Source organism: Homo sapiens, chromosome 4 (genome assembly GCF_000001405.40).
Source record: "Homo sapiens chromosome 4, GRCh38.p14 Primary Assembly".
Lineage (NCBI taxonomy): Eukaryota > Metazoa > Chordata > Mammalia > Primates > Hominidae > Homo > Homo sapiens.
In genome coordinates this window covers 25,022,202-25,041,954 of record NC_000004.12, presented here as the reverse complement: position 1 = coordinate 25,041,954, position 19,753 = coordinate 25,022,202, and the positions used below count along the sequence as shown (strand labels likewise).

Sequence of the window (19,753 nt, the reverse complement as noted above, 5' to 3'; positions counted from 1 at the left end):
GTGAATCCATTAAACCTCTTTCTTTTGTAAATTGCCCGGTCTCAGGTATGTCTTTATCAGCAGTGTGAAAATGGACTAATACAAATACCTCCTGGGCAGAACTGTTTCAAGTCTTAGGTAGGATAAACTCACACAAAGTGTGTGGCACATAATAGGCACTAGAAAAGTGTTAGCTATTATTTTTGCTGTCATTAATCAGTGGCTTTGCTCATTCCATTCCATGCAAAATGTCTCTCTCCTGGTATCTGTCTACTTAGGTCCTACCCATTCTTCATGGCCCAGCTCCAATGTTAACGATCCTGGAAAGCCAATTTGACCTTGCAAATTAGAAGCAATCACTACCTCTTCTATACATTTATAGTCCTCTGCATTATCAACCCCTGTGAGGCAGTTAATTTATAAGGAAAATGGGCTGACACAGTGGCTCACCCCTGTAATCCCAGCACTTTGGGAGGCTGAGGCAGGAGGATTGCTTGAGGCCAGGAAGTTGAGGCTGCAGTGAGCTATGATTGTGCTGCTGCACTCCAGTCTGGGCAACAGAGCAAAACCCTATCTCACAAAAACAAAAAAAAAAACAAAAAAAAAAAAGCAAGAAAGAAAGAGAGAGAAGGAAAGGAAGGAAGAAAGGAAGAAGAAAAAAAGAAAGGAAGAAAAAAGAAAAAGAAAGAGAAAGGAAGGAAGGAAGGAAGAAAGGAAGGAGAAAAAGAGAAAAATTACTGCTAAAAGTCTCTTGGGTCCAGCCAGAAAGACCTGAAGTTTTTCTGTGACTTTTACTGAGTTTCTCTCAGTTTTTGTCAACTAATCAAGCCCAAATGTCTTTCTTTTCCACAGCAATTGTCCCAAGCTTTCTTGGATTTCTTCAGTTATTTTCACATCGTATTTATATCTGTTGTGGAAGTGTAAGCCCTCGGAGAGGAGGTTATAAGCCTCAGGAATATTTGTAGCTTCAACCCTTACTCAGGGTTTGCCATTTTCAAGGAACTCAATAGATATAGATTGAAAATGCTCAATAGATGTTTATTGAATTAGCTAGTGAAGTAGGAAAGAATAAATTTCAATAAGAAGCAGTTTTGAACTCCTGTTAAGCAGTGAATTTCTAGGGAGAAATCACTGTAAATATTCTTTTGGCTCCAGAAAGTCCTGGACATATGTAACAGCTTTGACTGAGATCCTCTGAACTCATGTCCCCTGATCAAGCCCAAATGTCCTTCTCACCATTTGTAGCAGACCTGGAGAATCGCAGCTCAGATCTCTTCATGAAAGGACTGGCTGCCCAGGGGCTGAGAGCGTGCTTAGCTCACCGTCTCCAGCTATTAGCCCCTCTGGATTCTCCTCAGCATGCAGGGAGCAAGGGAACCCTGGTCCTGTAACTAAGCAAGGCCACGGTACAAGGGCCCAGCCTCTTCCCCTGGATGTGGGACTCCTCCCGCAAGCAATCTCTGCTTCGGAGCTCACTGCTGGGCTGGTAGGGACTTTATCCAGTCTGCGGTGCTACTCCTCTTTCTCTTTTAACAGTGTTACTTCCTAATGAGGGTTTTGCACTGTCAATACCAGCTCAGCCTCTCCTTTCCAAAGATCCCAAAGAGCACACCTCTGCAAACCAGTGTCTCCAGGGAGCTTGGAAAGACCCGGGAGGAAGACTGACCTCATTTTCCAGGAGCAGTGCTCATTTACAGCAGGTGAAGAAACATAGAATACTGAGCTGATCTGACAGCATCAGTCGTATGGCCATCAGACACCTTGTCCAGTGGCCTGGGCTGCCCATACAGCAGAAGGACACCCAGAGTCCTTTGATTTTGCTGGGGGAATCCAGCTATAATTACATTTTCCAAAATATGATACTGTAGTAAAATGGATCAAAGAGAATGCTGTTCTCATGGCAAACTTCTTGATTTCCCAAATGAGTCTAAACATGGCATTATTGATGAATCCTGTTATTTTTCTCAGAGGATAAAAGATAAAAATAAATTGGGCTGTCTTGGATTGTACTCTCCAGGAAGCTGCCATGGCTCATACTAGAGTGGGGACGAATGTGTAAGAGGCTGGGCAGGTTTTCCAGCTGGACTTTTGCTGGTCTGGAGGCTCCAGGATTATCCCTGATATCCAAGGGTGACTATGTCTTTTCTACTCTCTGCCCTTGTCAACGTCCAGTGATTCTCTCTTGGCTCTTGGGAAAGCTTGACTCTTGCCAGGTCTAATTTGGATCAAGGAGGAATTTGCAGACGGCTTCCATTCTCCATGCCCCCTTTTGCACTCAGCTGGTGCCTCAAGGGATATTTGGACAGGTTCATCACGGAATTCATGTGTGTCTGCAAGTCATCAAGCCTCTGACCCTGGATGTGGGACTCCTCTGAGGGCCTGAAGAATGGTCATATTCAATATTGCTTTTGAATGATATTCCAACATCAAAGAGATGCCTTCAAATAATTTGGAGTTAGCTGGTGGAAGGAATGATAAGGCTTCTGCCTTCTAGAACTTTGTGGAAAGCGTTGATATTCTTTTTCCCTCTTCAATATTCTCCAATAGCTTTGTTGATAGAATAGGACAACTCCATCTACTATAGTCGATGACATGATCACATTGGCTGCCTGATCACATAACCTATCCAAGCCTCAGTTTCTTCCTCTGAAAAATTCTGTTCTGGGTTATGTGAGCTGCAATGGAGATAATAGAGATGAAAAGACCTTGTAACCTAGAAAACTGCTAGATGAACATCAGATAATATTATTGTAAACTTAAGGGCTACTTGACTTCTCCTTCCAGGGAAGGTAAATATCCCAACATAGGGATGCTGGAGGTAAGAACTCTCCCAGAAGTTTATGTATAGCAGAAGGCAACCCTTTGTCTGACATGAGCTAAGACAGTCTGCTGGGGACAGACTTGGGATTTACAACTGTCCTCTCCTTGAAATGACTGCTCCTGTGTGTCAGCATTTGGGCCAACAGACACACCCCCTTGCCCTTCCTTAAGTGATAGATCACCCACTCTCCCACCAAATTAGCAGTCTTCAGGAGCCACATAAATTCTAGGCTCCAATGTCCTTGTAACAATCGAGAACAAAGAGTCATGAGGTTTATTTAACGGTTGGAGATTTATCTCAGCACAGTGGCGGGTCTGGCCTTGTCCTGGTGGAAGGGCAGTGGTGATAGAGTATTGCTAGAGTCTCCCCCAACTTGTCCTTGGGCTGGGCTCCCAAGACACTGCCTAATGGCCTGGGGGCTGCTAATCCCAGAGTGCAAGAGGTACACCTGGAATTGTTGCATGTGCGGGGCAGGCTGAAGGCAGCAAGAGTCGCCTTGTTCACCAGTGGACTCCCACAGTCTAGCACGGCGCCTGTCCATGGGAGCTGCTCAGGAAATGCTTGCTGAACAATTAAACTAAGCTCCCCAGCTTTCAGAGAAATTCACGGGTACTGTCTCTTGGGACTGTGGAAAGTGTTGGAGAAAAACTAAAACATTTCTGAGGTTCTAGGAGACAGTTTTGACATAGAAGAGTTTTATTTTCTTGGTACATTTTAAGCTTCTTGAGGAGACTATCTCTATCTTCTCTTATTTACCTATATCTATCTGTCTGTCTACTGTCTGTCTATCATCTATCTATCTATCTATCTATCTATCTATCTATCTATCTATCTATCTATCTATCTATCATCTAGCTACCTAATCTATCTGTCCATCCATCCATGTCCATACCCATATCTTATCCATATCCATATCTACATCTATAGTGATTTGTGGCTCTCAATAAACACGCAGAGACCAACTAGCTAACCATTTAGTTAACTAATTTGTACTGCTTATAAGAATGTTCACATTTTTCAACTGACTTCACCCTTCAAGCAATCCAAGCTGATGTGCATTGTCCTCTCCCATTTGCAGAAGAGGAAATCAAGGCCTTAGAACTGGTGAAACTGAGATTCAAATCACGCCATGCAACAACACAGGCCATGCTCCTCCACTGCACCACCTTCTTGGTTGGTGAGCTTTGGAAAGGGAGGCATGGGAGTGAGTTCTGAAGATGAGCTATGCCTGCTTGTCTTCTGAGCAACTCTTCCTATAAGATGTAGGTGAAGCGAAGAGGAGAGACCCACAGCCAGGCCCGTAGGTAGCAGTGGAATCTTTTGTCCATGTTCTGATTTTGGGAACTCTGAAATTCCCTCCATGGTGATTAGTTTAAGTCTGAGAGCTACGTTCAAACACAAACATCCCTGGGAAGTCTAACCCAATAAGCAAGCAGTCATGGGGTTAAATGTGGATGCATTTCGGACACTTTTCCCAGAAGACATTGTGATGTGAGCTAGGGTGGGTTGAACAGAGGGCATCAGATCACAGAGTAACTCAGATGCTAAAGAACAGAAAAATTATAAATCCCAAATATATTTAATTTAGCCTTGATTAAAATTAGGTTGAGACCAGAGGCCACAGTCTTGAATAGCAAAAATCTTGAGAGGATATAAGACCTTTCAGAATGCAAAGCGTTGGATTAACCATGGTTTGTGGATAAGAGAAGAGCTTAGAGGATATTTACAGACCCCTTATTATAAATTTAAGTTAAATCTCTGCTTATTCCACAACTCGTTCGTCTAACGTAGAATTTCTGCTAAGTCTGTTTGCTAAGAAGAGCAAAGAGATTTCCCATAAAGTTATTATGTTACTTGTAAACTTGAGACTGAAAGTTTGTTATATAGAAAACTGTGCTTGTCTTAGGGGGTTGACTTTACTCACAGACTCACTCTCTGTGACCTCACAGATGTACTTCTCATCCACTCAACCCAACTAAAAGACTGGGCACATTCTCCTAGAACTAGGAACACAGATAAAGGCATTCTGTCTTGTAAACATAAAGTGTAAAAGAAAAAAGCATAATAAAAGATTCTGATTAACTTTTTTGCACAGTGCAGAATTGCAGAATAAGTAAAAGAAAACAATGATGAAGATAAAAGCATGTAGTAATAAAACAGAAAACCAAGATAGAATACAGAAAAGCAACAAAGGCATAACTTGACTCCTGGAGAAAACTAATAAAATCAACAAAACTCTGACAGTATTGATCAAGAAAAAAAGAGATGACATAAAGGGGAGAGGAGCAGAATTTCAAAACCCCCTTAACAAAGAGGATGGAAAGAACATTATGAAATTGGGGAGAGAGAGAAAAAGCCCTGTCAAGGGGTTTTGTTAGCCCTGGTTGTTCCAGTTGGGTGGTGTGTTTATCTCTAAACCACTCAGTGTGGCTGGGAGAATGGAATATTCTGGAATGCTCTAGTCTAGATGACGTGTATACTTCTGGGAGATGAAGGTATTCATCAAGTGAGCCACACAGACTGAACACTGAGGAGGAGTGATTCTCTCCAAAGCAAAGTCATGCCCTGTTGTCATGAGAAGGGGAAGCTGGTACAGGGTAACAAAAATCCCACAGGCACATTACACTGGTGATGGGGAGGAGGTAACAAAGGTCACCAGAAACCAATGCCAGGGTCCTGAGGGCCTTTGGGCTGATTTAGGAATCTGAGTAAGATATCCAAAGGTAGCTCTTCAAGAACATGATGCAATCTAAGAGGCCAATCAGGGATAGGTTCCGAATGAGTTCCAGACTTGTGACACCCACTGAGTTTATGAAGAAAACAAATGGTGGGAAGCCAGAAACAGGATCTACATTTGGTCAGCAGCCAACCACAAGAATAGCCTATTGGGGTGATGTGGTCAAGAAGGGATTGACATACTCCATGATTTTAAAAAAATGGACAAGAACTTTTTTCTTTTTCACCCCAAGGAATCTAATTTGTAGCCATTCAAGCCAAGTACCCTTGAGGTTTGGATGAATAATTTTGCTTTAGTTGTTACAGCAAGCATCAGAGTTGGAAGTATTAGACATTAGTGGAGGCTTTCCAAAGCTTCTATCTCTGGTGAGAAGACCAGGTAGGGTGTGGAGATAAAGTTAGCTTGGAAAACGGGGAGTAGGAGAAGAGAGGGAGGATAAGCAGCCTGATGAGGTATCTGAGATTCTTACAAGATTCACAGTTTGGTGTAGAGTTTACAGCCTATTTTTGGTCTTAAAATGGAATCCCCAAACTGTGATATTCTTAGTCACATTCTTCTGTAAGATTTCTATTGCTTCTTACTGACTGCACCTGAGAGATATCGTCCCTCTAATGTCTGTATTTCTGAAATATCATTCATTCATTCAATCAACCAATGTTACATTGAGGGCTTATCAAGAGAGAATCAAGGATTAGCCTATGGTCTGAAGATTTCCCATCCACCTCCACCCATCTCCCCCTTCCCATCCTGACTGGCCTTCTAGCTGACAGCTCAACATCTGCACATGGATGCCTCATGGACATTTAAAACTCAACATTCCCAAGACCAATCTCTTAATACTTCTCTTCCAGCCAAACCCTTTCCTCTTCTAGGCTTTCTCATCTTAAGAAATGGCACCTCCATCCACCCACTGGCTCCAGGCAAAACCTGGGAGGCATTCTTACCATTTCTTTCCACCTCCCTCCTAAATTAAACCAGCAGCTAGTCTTGCTGATCCTTCCTGTGCGGTGGCTCACACCTGTAATCCCAGCACTTTGGGAGGCCAAGGCGGGCAGATCACGAGGTCAGGAGATCGAGACCATCCTGGCTAACACGGTGAAACCCCGTGTCTACTAAAAATACAAAAAAAATTAGCCAGGCATGGTGGCGGGTGCCTGTAGTCCCAGCTACTTGGGAGGCTGAGGCAGGAGAATGGCGTGAACCTGGGAGGTGGAGCTTACAGTGAGCCGAGATAGCGCCACTGCAGTCCAGCCTGGGTGAAAGAGCGAGACTCCGTCTCAAAAAAAAAAAAAAGATACATCTTGAGTCCACCTCCACTCTTCTCTGCCACCAGTCAAGTCCCAGTTGCCATCATCTCTCACCAGGACTAGTTCAGTGGAACTAGTTCTCATTCTCTACTCAGCAGTCAGAAATAACTGCTGTGAAGTAGAAAGGATAGCAGGCTGCTTCTCTGACTGACGTCTTTCAATGGCCTCTGGCATTTAGAACAACATGCAGGCTCTTTGCCTTTGCCTTGGTCTACAAGGTCCTGCATGATTTAGTTTCTTTCTACCTTTCAGACCTCATTTCATCTCTTCCTCTCCCTTATTCTCCATGCTGTGGCCACACTGGCCTGCATTCAGAGCCTTACATGCACTCAGCATGTTCTGGTCCAGGTGACTTCACACATCCCATGCTTTCTGCCTGCTTCGCCCCTCCCTTAGCCTCTGCTTACTGCCCGCAGCCCTCCTGCACTTGCCTGCCCTTCCTCATCTCAAAGCACTCAGCTAAGGTCTCAGACAGGCTTTCATCATCTTGATATGGTTTGGCTGTGTCCCCACCCAAATCTCATCTTTAATTGTAGCTCCCATAATTCCCACATGTTGTGGGAGGGACCTGGTGGGAGATTATTGAATCAGCAGCGTGGTGGTTTCCCCCATAGTGTTCTCGTGTTAGTGAATAAGTCTCACAAGATCTGATGATTTTGTAAGGAGAAACCCCTTTTGCTTGGCTCTCATTTTCTCTTGTCTGCCACCATGTAAGACATGCCTTTCACCTTCCACCATGATTTTGAAGCCTCCCCATGAGGCCATGTGGAACTATGAGTCCATCAAACCTCTTTTTCTTTATAAATTAACCAGTCTCCAGTATGTCTTTATCAGCAGCATGAAAATGGACTAATACACACCTAAATTAGGTCTCCCCTATTCTCTTCCTTCATAGGCTCTATCAAAATTTGCAATTGCATACTCATGTATGCATTCTTTTAATTTAATATCTGTCTGCAATGAAAGTGGGGATCATGTCTGTCTTGGTCATTGTTTTATTATTGATGCCCAGCACATAGTAGGTTCTCAGTTAATACTGACAGAATTAACTGACAAGTAGCTGAACATGAGGGTACATGAACACATGAATGAATGCCATTTTGAGCTGCCAACACATGGAGTCATATAAAGTAGAACCGGTTTGAGACTTTAGAGAAGGCCACTCAAGCCTACGCCATTTCAGCCACTGTAGGAACGTGTGTTATTCATGTCATAAAGACATAGCTTGAGTAAGTTTACGTCTCAACAAGGATTTTTACAAAGATTTTTCAAAAACTCTTGCTATTTCCTGAAACAGATTGTGTCTCTCTGATTGTCTATTAAGTTTTTTTTTAAACTGCTGAGGAACTTGGAACCACACCAAAGTAATCTGCATTTCCATTTTTATATTTTAATTTATAAACTGCGCCTTATAATTTACAAGCACTCACTTACTTAGTGTCTCTAGCAGAGCCGAAACAAATACTAACTCTGCCAGCTATGCTACTCTGGCCTACTTTCTGCACCATTCCTATCAGGAACTTTTTAGTTTTTTGGGGTGGAGAGGGTGGGCTGGAGCTAGCTCTAGCTGTTGGAAGTTAAGGTTAGGAACAATGATGATATGTCACATTTATTTAGGAAAGGGTGCAGAAGGGCTCTTTATCCCCATTTTATAGATGAAAAAATAGAAGCTAGAGATGGGAATAACATGACCAAGAAGGTTTGCTTGTGATTGATGAACCTGACTTACAATCTGCATCTCTGGAATTCCTCATGCCAAGGGTCTTTCCAGAACACTAAGCCAGGCTCTCTCAACCTTGGCTCTAGCAACATTTTGACCTGGATCATTCTTGCTGAGTACTGCAAGATGTTTAGTAGCGTCCCCAGCCTCTACACATTAGACGCCAGGGGCACCCACCCCAAATATCTCCACACATGGCCAAGTGTCCCCTGAATTACCCGCAATTGAGAACCACAACACAAGACAGTGACTCTGATTACAATGGAAGGACAGAAGTCAGGAAAACCCATCTCCCTCCATAGTCCTCTCTCCGTCACTTACCTACAATCTAGTCACATAGAACTCTGCTCAAACGCCCAGTGCCTCCTTTGTGGTATTAAATGCTTTACTTTCTTGATCTCATTTAACCCCCAAATGTGGTTACAACAACCTCTTGTTTACAGGTGAAGAAATGGAGGTTTAGAAAGATCACAGCTTGCACAGCAGTAAGTGGCAGGCTGGGATTACACAATTACACATCAGTAAGTGGTAGGCTGGGATGCAAACCCCAACCTGTCTAGTCCTGAGGCCAGCATTTAGCTATGCCACCCTGCCCCCAGGCTCTCACTCAGAGGTGAGAAATAGATTTTCTTTTCCTGGGTCAGCAGGGAGTGCTCTGTTTGAGAAGCCTCCGTTCCTCTGCTCTATAAAGCAGTAGCCCATCCCTCTTAAGGGAAACATCTTTCAGGTGCACAGCACACACATCCACGATTGTGGGTCTGCATGTCTGTCGCCCTCCCAGGCTGTGGTCTGTGTCCTCAGCCCCTAACACTGGGGCTTGCTGAGTAAAGTATTTGTAAATGCATGCCCACACAGCAGCGAGGGTTAGACACAGCAGCCAGTTGTGGAGTATGATCTCCCTGGCCATGTCCTGTGTGATCTTGGACAAGATAAAAACTTCTCTGAGCTCAATGTTCCCATCCATAAAATGGGAGGACCCATTTCTCAGGACAGATGCAAGAATTAAATGATGATAAATGCAGGCTGGTTTGTACTGATGCCAGGTGCTTTTTACATAGTCACCAGCAGGGAATGTCTAACTCCCTCCATGAAGTTGCCTACGCAAAGCTCTCTTTCAATTCCTGAACCTCTTTTGGTCAGTCTGTGACCCCCTTGTAGCCAGTGGAGTTGCTCTTTTAGGGTTGTCTGTCCAGCTAGACTTTTAGCTCCCTGAGGACAGGAGCTGTTCCTTTGTTCCCTCCCACAGCAGCCAGCCTGATACCGTCCTCATGGATCTTGTCAATGGATCACCAACAATAATTGCTGAAGAAGCAATAGTATGATTCCTACTTTTGCATTCGATACTGACTTTTCTGAGTAGGTTTTAGCATCTGGCATGCTTTTCCTTGGTTTGCAGCTCGACAGTCGTGCTGTGATTCCCTTCTCCCAGCAGTTCAGGTTATTAGCCATTACTTTGTTTCCGCTTTGGTCATTTTCTTTGATTTCCTCAGCCGCACATTACCTGTGTTAAGATTTCCGCTCATTGCTTCAAACTTAAGGAGTTGAAGAGGGGCTCAGGAGGGCCCAGTTAAGGTAGCCCTTCAAGGCTCCGAGCCCCATCCTGCCCAGCCAGGAGCTGCTGGACCATCAGCCAGTCAGGATGCTTTCTGGGCGTCAGCAGCCTCATCAATAAATTAAGGATATAAGTAGGACCTGCCTCAAAAGGTTAGAAGATTAAAAGTACAGTGGCTAGAATGTATCACACCCTCAATCTCTACAAACCCTCCTCTGACTGGGGCGGGTGGGGTGACCCGTGGGCAGCTGAGCGAGGGGAAACTTTCCCGGGCTTTCCAGCTCTTTAGCAGGCAGCAGGCAGGGCCCAGAGCGCCGGGCGTGCAGGCTGCAGCGGCTTTGCTTCCCCACGTTCCTCCCATGGGAGGACTGGCTGGCTTCAGTAACCCCTGGTGCTGTGGGAGCGAGAGCCAGACCTCACTGCCCCACCGCAGAAGACAAGCAAAGCCATCCTCGCTGACCCTACCGGCAGCATGCACTTCAAAATTAATAAAGGCTGCTCCAAAGTCTCTCCTCTTCAAAGCACCCAGGGCTGCCTCCCTCCCCAGTAATCAAGCCGGTTCTCCACACTCCCCGCTCCGACTTTATTGATTTGCCTGAAAGGAACCCAGTGCCCTCCCCAGATTATACCCCTGGAGGTATTGCAGGCATCGGATCCTCCACCGCTCAGTCAGGCCCCGACGGGGGTCTCCGCCAGGCTTGGCCCCTCCCCCAAGGTCACCCAACTTTTCCCTCTGTCCCCGCGCCCGGCCCGGGGCGAGAGGGGGTGGCGAGGTGGGGGCCGGGTGGGGCGCCACGGGGCCGGCGCTGGCCCCCTCCCCCGCGGGGCGGGCCCCGCCATGCATTATTCATTGGCCAGAGCCGGGCTGCGGGCGCGAGTGCTGATGTCAGGCAGGCGCGAGTGCGGCGGGCGCAGCGGCGGCGGCCGCCCAGCAGCCCGGGCTCGGGTGGGGGGGCGCCGAGTGGGGGTGGCGGCCAGCATGCTGCTCGGCTGCGGCTCGGCCTCCCACACCCGCGGCTCCCTAGTCCTCGCCAGCAGCGGCGGCGGCAGAGCAGCGAGCGGCGCCCGCGTCTGCAGCGGCGCCGGGTCCGAGCGCGCGGCGCGGCGGTGGGGGTCGGGGCCCGGGCGGGGAGCGGGGACCGGGCATGGCGCTGCGGAGAGGCGGCTGCGGAGCGCTCGGGCTGCTGCTGCTGCTGCTGGGCGCCGCGTGCCTGATACCGCGGAGCGCGCAGGTGAGGCGGCTGGCGCGCTGCCCCGCCACTTGCAGCTGTACCAAGGAGTCTATCATCTGCGTGGGCTCTTCCTGGGTGCCCAGGATCGTGCCGGGCGACATCAGCTCCCTGTGAGTGGGACCCCTCCAGCCCCCATCCCGTCCCGCCCCACCCTGCGTCCGCCGCCGCGAGGGAGTTGCCTCTGGCGCCGGGCCAGCGCGACCCTGACCCACTCCCCAGGCCCCTTCTTTGCCTTTGTGTGGGGGACGTGGGTGGAGTGTTGGCCCCCGGGGAGGACGGTGAGGACCTGAGCCCCAGAATCTGGGAACCCAGACAGGTTCCTGTGGCAGCGTTTCTCAGAGTGTGGCCCACGGGCCACCTGCATCAGACTCACCTGGGGAAGCTTGTGCCAATGCAGAATCCAGCTGCTCTGAAGCAGTCTTTGGAGTGGAGTCCTGGAGTGTGCGTTTGACGTCCCCGGGAGACTCAAGGGTGCATTAAAGTTTGAGAGGGCGTGTGCGTGTGTGTGTGTGTGTTTGCGGGTTGGAGTTGTGTGTGTAGGGGCGTGCATAGGAGCAGCTGAACACGACCTGACTGAGTGCAAACTGGGCAGGGTGAGGCCTCACTGCCCCACATCAGGTCTGGGGCGAATGTTCACCCCGTGGCCTCCTCCCGACTTCTCCACATTGCAGGTTGCAAAAAGTCGAGGTCAAGGCATGCAGGCTCTGGGAGGGGAGGGGCCGCCCCCCGTGGCCTAGAAGAGGGGTAACAGAAGGCTGGGCAGAGGTTTGGGGCATGTTGGGCGCCTAGCCCAGTGGCCAAGTGCTTTGAAGTCAGCCTTCTTGCCCTGAGGTCAGGAGGGCTTCTTGCCCCCTTTCTCCATCACACAGTTGTGTTGGCTGCTTTTTCAGCAGGAGGAACTGACAGGAAAGGGCTTCACATTAGGTATCCACCTGCCGAGAGGTGCTTTCATCCTGCCCTCACCTGGCCACTCAAGCCAAATGACCAGCTCTCACAAGGGCGGTGGAAGGGGCTGTTGGGCTGTATCTTTACTGCTAGGACATGTTTCCTGCTAAGACCACTCTCTTGTTCCAGGCCAAGATGCCTGGGTGCCCAGTCAGTGGTGGAGGCAGGGAATCCCCGGGGTGACGTTGCTTGTGCTCAAGATACTTTCTTGTGTCCAGTGCTTCCCAGCCTCCCACCCAAGGCAAATTGTAGGGGCCTGGACCCAGGAGTGAGGGGGTTCCCATTTGCATTTATAGAAAGTCAGAAGAGTTTGGCTGGTGGGAACAGAGGACCTTTTTGATTCTTAATATTGCTAAGTCGGGTGACATGGAGGATTCCAGAAATTAGAGTTCCCCTTATTAAATCCTTCAGACCAGCAGCTGCTTAAGTGATCTGCATGCCAACTGAAAGGAATTCTGAAATAATGTATTCAGATCCTGCTGTGGCCAGAAAGGATGGGGGCCTGGGGGCAGAAATAAAGCCAAGCATCTTGCCTCCTGGTTGACCGTTTTATCTGGCAGATGGTACTGCCTCTCCCCACACAGGGGAGTTCAGGTGTCTGTGAGTTTTTCCCCAGGGCTTTCATGTTGCATTTAATCAGGAGTGCTCTGTCTTTCAGAGATGGGGTCCCAAGAGGAATGCTTAATCCTACCCCAGCATTTCATAGGCCAACACAACGCTGTGTCTACACAAACAGAATCATGGGCAGAGGTGAAGCGATTATCCATTTTCAGGCAAGGACCTCCTGTAGTTAAGAAAAGGAAGTGAAGGGATTGATTTAAACTGACCGAGATAATGTCTGTGGAAGGAGCTGATGGTAAAGGTTTCTGTTATTCAGACTAGTCTTCATATTGATCTGATTCATTGGGAAGTGGCTTGTCTCTTCTTATTCCTACCCCGGGGAAGATCCTGGGCAACTGTGCTATGCCTCACTCCTGAGAGTCAGGGTTTGAAGTACAGGTGGAGGCAGAGTTTGATTACCCACCCTGCATGGCACTTCCTAAAAGAAACCTAGGCCTACTTTTGTTCATCTTTTGCCCGTAGGAGCCTGGTAAATGGGACGTTTTCAGAAATCAAGGACCGAATGTTTTCCCATCTGCCTTCTCTGCAGCTGCTGTGAGTATGGGAAGTTCCCTCTGCACAATGGGGGGCCCTGAGGTGCCATCCTTGGAGGGCCGTCTCTGCCTCTTTGGTATCAGCCCTTCCTAAAGTACCCCAGCTCCGTGAGGAGACCGTGGCTGCCTCTTGGTGTTAATTTACCCTGTGATGTCCCCAGCAAAGCACTGAGGCTCCCTGCTCAGCTCTTTCCTTAGTTCGATACCTGTTTTCTTCAGAGACTTTATTGTAGATCCCAACACCCAGATCTAGTAAATGGGGAGGTAATTGCATTGACTCATGACCTGAAAGTCACCTAAATGCACTGTTTCCCAAACACCTCAGTTTAAAAGAAAACTTCATTTTAAAATCTTAATGTTACTCTGGAAATAGGAGTGTTTCTAGTTTGCTGAGAACTTAAACCAGTCAGGCAGCATCCTATGAACTTACGTGCGTAATTTTATTTCATCATCACTTCATCGGTATGATGAAGGCATGCTTATGATCCCATTTGATAGATAAGGAAACTGAGGTTCAGGGAACTTAACTAACTTGTCCCAAATCAGAGCCAGATTCTAGTCCAGGGCCAAAAGCCCACACTCCTAACTATTCCTCATCCCATCTCCTCTCTGTGAGCAATGCTCAAGTCCCTGTGGTGATGCTCATGTTGTGCCCTGTAACCCAGGCTGGGTAATGTGTGCTGATGAAAACAAATGTCCAAAAAGTAGTTTTCAAAAGCAATCCAGTGACAGGCAAAGTAAGAGTACACACCTCATTCTCTTGATCTGTGTTGGTTTCTTAAATTTGAGATGAGACTGAAATTAAAACAAGCAATGTGCTATAGAAAAATTTGGATAAATGGAATATAGGAGAGCACTATTCATCCTCAATAAACATACTCTTGATACTTTTGTTCTTGAAATCTTATATGCCTACTTTTAACATTACACTTAACATTTTAAAATCTGAGGCCTCTTAGAAATTGCAGTGCTATTAAAATATACTTTTCATATAATAGAAATACAATTTTAGGTATTCTTTTGCCAGTAGACTTGGGTGATGACTCAAATAGAAAACTACGTAGTAACAGTCTCCTGAAAGTTTCTTAAACAAACTTTTTTTTTTTTTTTTTTAACTATTGTTATGGGTCCAGCTGCATGACTTTGGTCAAGTCACTTAGCTTCTCTGGGCTTTTATTTTCGTAAAAATAGATTTGGATTAGATCTTTTTAGATCTCTAATTTTATGATTGCTTGTGTACCATAAAGCATTCACTGGCTGTTTAGTCGTGCTGAGCATTATAATGTTTTAAAGTCACAGCTATCAGATCATATTTACTGAGACACACAGGGAAGAAAGGAGTAGAGTTCTGGAGAGGACAAGAAAATCTGGTCAAAAGGAATCCACTTGCCATCGTCTCTAAGAGCAGGCTGTGAGAATCAGGTTTTTGACAACAAAATGTGGTCTCCTTAGGCTAAGAAGAGCTCATGTTTGCCCACAGATCAAAACGTAGCAAAGGAAAGAGAAATGGCTTTACCATGTGACTCAAGTTTTACATCTCTCCATTGGAATCTGTCTCTTACTTTCAGATTGCTGAATTCTAACTCATTCACGATCATCCGGGATGATGCTTTTGCTGGACTTTTTCATCTTGAATACCTGTAAGTTTTGTGCTTTGTCTATTTGCTGAACATTCGGTATCTTGGTAGAATTTCTGGATTGGTTTCTGTGCTGGAACAGCATCTCTGCAAGGGTTTAGGGGTGGAGAAACTGGAGAACACCCCATTCTCTTTTCAGCACTGACCTTTTATAGTTTACTTGCTTACAAACATGCTGGGGAAGGAGGAGGCTGGAGACAAAGAGGGAGAGACAAAACAAAGAAGGAGAGATAGTCATTCATTCTCTGCTGACATTTAATTTGTCATGTAGTAAGCACAATTGGAAGTTGCGTTGGATATTTTTACCTCTCATAAATAGGCATGGATTTGCTGACCAGCCAGAAATAGAGCTGCGGGGTTCTGAGGGTTACTTATTTTTAAGAAAGCCTCCCTATTTGGGGGGTACAACTTCATGTTGTTCACTCACTGTTCTACATCTCTTTTGCAGTATCTCCTATGAATTGCTACTGAGGGTCTAATTTTATTTTATTTTTTTCCTTAAAAAAAGGTCATTTTTCCCTTTTTTGATGTGCAGATTTCTCCCCTCGCAATGAGCTTTGCCCTTGTTCTGATTTCTGCCTTTTCTTCCTTTCATGTCTTTTTTCCCCTTTAAGTTCTTTCATCCTTGTCTTTGGTAACTTTGTAATAATGTTAATCCTGCTATCAGATGGGATAGCCTCACTTAGCATTCAGAGGGATTTTTAAAGCCTTGTCTCATTTTCTTGTCTGAGTTCAACAGGTAGGTATTGGAATTCTAGACACATCCTAGATATAAGAAAGCTCTCTGCTGACTTTGTGTCTTGAGAAAAGATGTTCCTGGAGGAATTCTTTCTCCAGAGTATACATAATATGTGTATTCGCATAATACTCTGATATTATCATATACATAGTATGGAAAGTGTAGCAGGACTGCAATGCTAAATCTGACTAAGGTCTATCAAAGCACATACATAGCCAATGGAGGTAGCAGTTGTAAAGCTATGAGTTTTCTCTTACGATAGTTCATCTTATGGTCAAGGTTATTGGAGAGGAAGTTAGCTCATCAGTTTATGCTGAAGTCTATTACTGAAAAGACATCTCAGTTTTAAAAACCATCAGTGAGTTCTCAGTGCAAGAATCAAGAACTAATTCGTTGATGATGTTGTGTTTCAAAGCCCCAACCATGGAGCATCTCATCAAAGACCCTCTTATATTTGACTTAATATAATGCTGTAACTAAAATTTAGTTCTCCCTGAGCCTAGAGAATAGTCGTAGTGAATTCACATCAATTATTTCCCACAAAGACCTTAAAGCATGGCCAGTGGTATTATTGCAAGATCCCATGTGCCAACCCTGTGGGGTTTTAGTACAGAGAAAGAAGTTTGGTTCCTACTCAACTTCATTATACTTCCTACTTCCTAGTAGCTTAGAGAGCTTGAGCTTTTCCTGCCTTGTCACCCATTTGCTTGGTGACTAGATGGTGTAGGACACGATAAACTCAAGGTTGCTGAAAACCAAGCTTGATAGAACTCTCCCCCAGCAAAAAACTTTAATGTGGAGATGTAAAACAAGAGAACCCTCTCAAGGGACAGTGACATTAACAGAAGTATGAATAGCCAGGCACCGTGAAATGTGGGATTGAGTAGGGAAAATGTCTGGAAGTGCTCCAGTCTTGCAGAGATATGAGAATTTCTTGCCTTTGTATAGTGCTTTCTTCTTTATTTCTCCCCAGGATGTTTTTACCCATGTTGCCAGCTCAGAATTCTTTGGAGACTTCCATGCCACTTCTGGAAGGAGTGCAGACCACACACTCCCGTGCACGCATTTTTGCATACATCCTGCTACCACATGGAATTTGGTGTAGCTGACCTAGTCTTCAGAGATCAATTCTTATAATTCAGGAATACTTTTAGATTTTATTCTGAAAGCTTACCAACATAGTTTTTTTGGGATACTAAGGAGAGAAAATTCATTTTAATTATACAACTTTTCCTCTTAGGTTCATTGAAGGGAACAAAATAGAAACCATTTCAAGAAATGCCTTTCGTGGCCTCCGTGACCTGACTCACCTGTAAGTCCTATGAAAAGTATTGTAAGTCCTCTAATATGTGGAGTAAGATTGGTTTCCTGGAGCCTCTCTGTTTCTTGGCTGTAACTGTCCCTGAAGGAAATGAATTTCTAGATTACTCAAGAGGTTTCTATGTTGTCAGTCAGACACTGGCTCATTGTGAGTACACACATACTTGTCTTTATTATCATCTCTATCAACCTGAATTGCAGTTATAGGCCACATGACTGTGTGGGAATTAAGGAGCATCCTGGGGTGTGAGGAACTTGTGTTGCTTGATGGTGGAGATGGGAAGAAATTTTTTTTTTTGAGACGGAGTCTCACTCTGTCATCCAGGCTGGAGTGCAGTGGCATGATCTCGGCTCACTGCAGCCTCCGCCTCCTGGGTTCAAGCCATTATCATGCCTCAGCCTCCCGAGTAGCTGGGATTACAGGTACACACCACTATGCCTGACTAATTTTTGTATTTTTAGTAGAGACGGGGCCTCACTATGTTGGCCAGGCTGGTCTCGAACTCCTGATCTCAAGTGATCCACCTGCCTCGGCCTCCCAAAGTGCTGGGATTACAGGCGTGAGCCACCGCACCCAGCCAGGAAGGAAATCATTGTGGGTCTTATACCTGCTTGGCACCAGGCACAGGGCTGGGTGCTTAGTGAGCCTTCTCTTCTTCATCTTTCATAATAATCTGTGAGTCCCCATTTTACAGATTTTGGAACCAAGGCTTAGATGACTAGGTGGAATGTTGGATCAGAATTAGGACAAAGTGGAATAGAGACATTTTCATGGTTCCTCTCATTTGAATGCAAATCACTTTTTGTTTTATATTGGATTAATCTGTGGTTTCAACTAAGCTCTCTGCTTCTTTAAGAGCTTTCTGGAGATAAAATTAAAGAAATTGATTTGAAACTGGCATATAAAAATGAAGCAAGTACACACACTTAGCAAATGTATAAAATTTATAAAACTAGAAAAAATAGTGGCTGTGTTTATGAAAATGTAAAAATGCTCATTATCTTGGTAGGAGTAATTCGTTAGCCAGGAACCAGGTCCCATTTGCATGATAGATATTTTGAGTTTGAGTAAGATAACATGTCTCATCTCTGTAGTCAGCCTGCCTGCCATAAAGACAGTTGGGAAAATTGGAGGGTTTTGACTGGAAGTGTTGGGCAGGGATGGTAGTACCTTCAGCATGTGTAACCCTGACTGGTACAGTGTGGACATAGTCATCTAATGAGGAAACCATTCACATCAAGCCCCGATATTGGCAAAGGGGGTTGTCAATAGGCCAAGCAAACACTTGATTCTGGAACGCCCACAAGTAGAGGCTCTGCCTAAGTTAAAGCCTATCGGGTAAGGAGATGAGGGAGCAGACATGGGAGGCCGAAACATCTGTGTCAGCATAGTTGATACCGGACAATGTCCTAGGTCTTCATTTCTTCCTATAAAAGCCTTTATTGTTTTTCAGATTCAACCTAAGTGTCAAATCCCCAAATTCCTGTAGAGACTACAATTGTGGGCTTGGAGTCGTATAGGCTTGGATAGGCTTGGGTTTAAATCTCAAGGCCATGATTTATTAATATTGTTTAACTGTCTAAGATCAATTTCCTCCTCCTTAAAATAGGGATAACTATACTGATTTCATAGGATTGCTGTACATAAAAGGTTAATGCTTGCTTGAAAAGCATCTAGTCCATTACCCATGGTAAATGCTCAAGGCATAATTGGCATCATCATCATCATCATCATCATCATCAACATCAACATAATTCCTTCCCTCCATGCATTAAGTCCCAACTTCCTCCATGGCCTGTCAAGTATCTTTGGCAGTTTGGGTGGCCAGACAGAGTCTACTAAGGAGACAGCTGTGGGTGTCTGAAGAGGAACAGCTGTGGCCAGATGAGTCTGGTTCCCAGAAGTCAGGAATTAGGGCTTTATATTTGAGCAAAAGCTCTGGGCAGATTATAAACCTAAGGCAAAGCCCATGTGACGGGCTGAGTTAGCCCAGATGGCAACTTTCATTTGCTCAGATGGCTGTGGTTCTTCCATCAGCAGGAGGGTGTGAACAAGCAGGTATCATGCGCGGGTATTTGCATATCTTTGTGCAGGTGTACAAAGTGTCCTCGGGTGCATGGACTTATATACATGAGTGTACATAACTGTGTTCCTGTGTGCATGCTTATGCATTTGTTTCATTTGTTATCATGTGTACATGTGTACAAGAGGCACCTCCTTTTCTGTGGTATTATGCACAGAGAACACAAACACAGAGGGAGCGAGGGAGTCCTGCCTGCACTTGGGTCCAGCGAGCATGGAATGCGTTAGAGAAGAACTAGCTCATCCTAGTGAGTAGGACCACCCCGCGGTCAAGCCTACAAGTCAAGCCTCTCCTCAGCTCTCTAACCTCATTTCTCTGAGTGTCTTCAGAACATCAAGCTTTCGGCGCTCCCCCACCCCATCCCACTGCTTTTCCTCACATCCTTTCCCTTGCCCGGGATGCTGTTTCTTCTGCCCTTGCTCTCTCTCATCTGCCTTTTCTTTCAAAGTCCAGATTGAGTTCTATCTCCCCAGTTAAGCCATTCTCCATCTTCCTCTTCCCTCCTGCCATTGGCTTCATGCAGCCA

General features: G+C 45.7%; 1 protein-coding gene and 2 long non-coding RNA genes across 5 annotated transcripts in view; 1 reads left to right on the top strand and 2 right to left on the bottom strand.

Moving 5' to 3' along the window:
• Positions 1 to 996: 996 nt before the first annotated feature.
• LOC124900684 (uncharacterized) lies at positions 997 to 11,847 on the bottom strand. Its single transcript, XR_007058083.1, has 2 exons — positions 11,722 to 11,847; positions 997 to 2,654 (listed from the first exon to the last, which is right to left on the bottom strand). It is a non-coding gene; the product is annotated as an uncharacterized LOC124900684 (long non-coding RNA).
• The window catches only part of LGI2 (leucine rich repeat LGI family member 2), a 38,866-nt gene continuing 30,121 nt past the window's right edge, over positions 11,009 to 19,753 (top strand). For all 3 annotated transcript variants that reach the window (XM_017008356.2, NM_018176.4, XM_011513850.3), the window contains exons 1-4: positions 11,009 to 11,458; positions 13,377 to 13,448; positions 15,016 to 15,087; positions 17,064 to 17,135. In XM_017008356.2, coding sequence (XP_016863845.1) covers positions 11,262 to 11,458; positions 13,377 to 13,448; positions 15,016 to 15,087; positions 17,064 to 17,135 — 413 coding nt within the window. In that variant the 5' untranslated portion in view covers positions 11,009 to 11,261. The remainder of the gene's footprint in view (positions 11,459 to 13,376; positions 13,449 to 15,015; positions 15,088 to 17,063; positions 17,136 to 19,753) is intronic.
• LOC102723675 (uncharacterized) overlaps positions 15,052 to 19,753 on the bottom strand; it is a 52,704-nt gene continuing 48,002 nt past the window's right edge. The window contains exons 5-6 of the long non-coding RNA XR_007058082.1: positions 17,134 to 17,225; positions 15,052 to 15,275 (exon numbers count right to left, since the gene is read on the bottom strand). This is a non-coding gene — a long non-coding RNA (uncharacterized LOC102723675). The remainder of the gene's footprint in view (positions 15,276 to 17,133; positions 17,226 to 19,753) is intronic.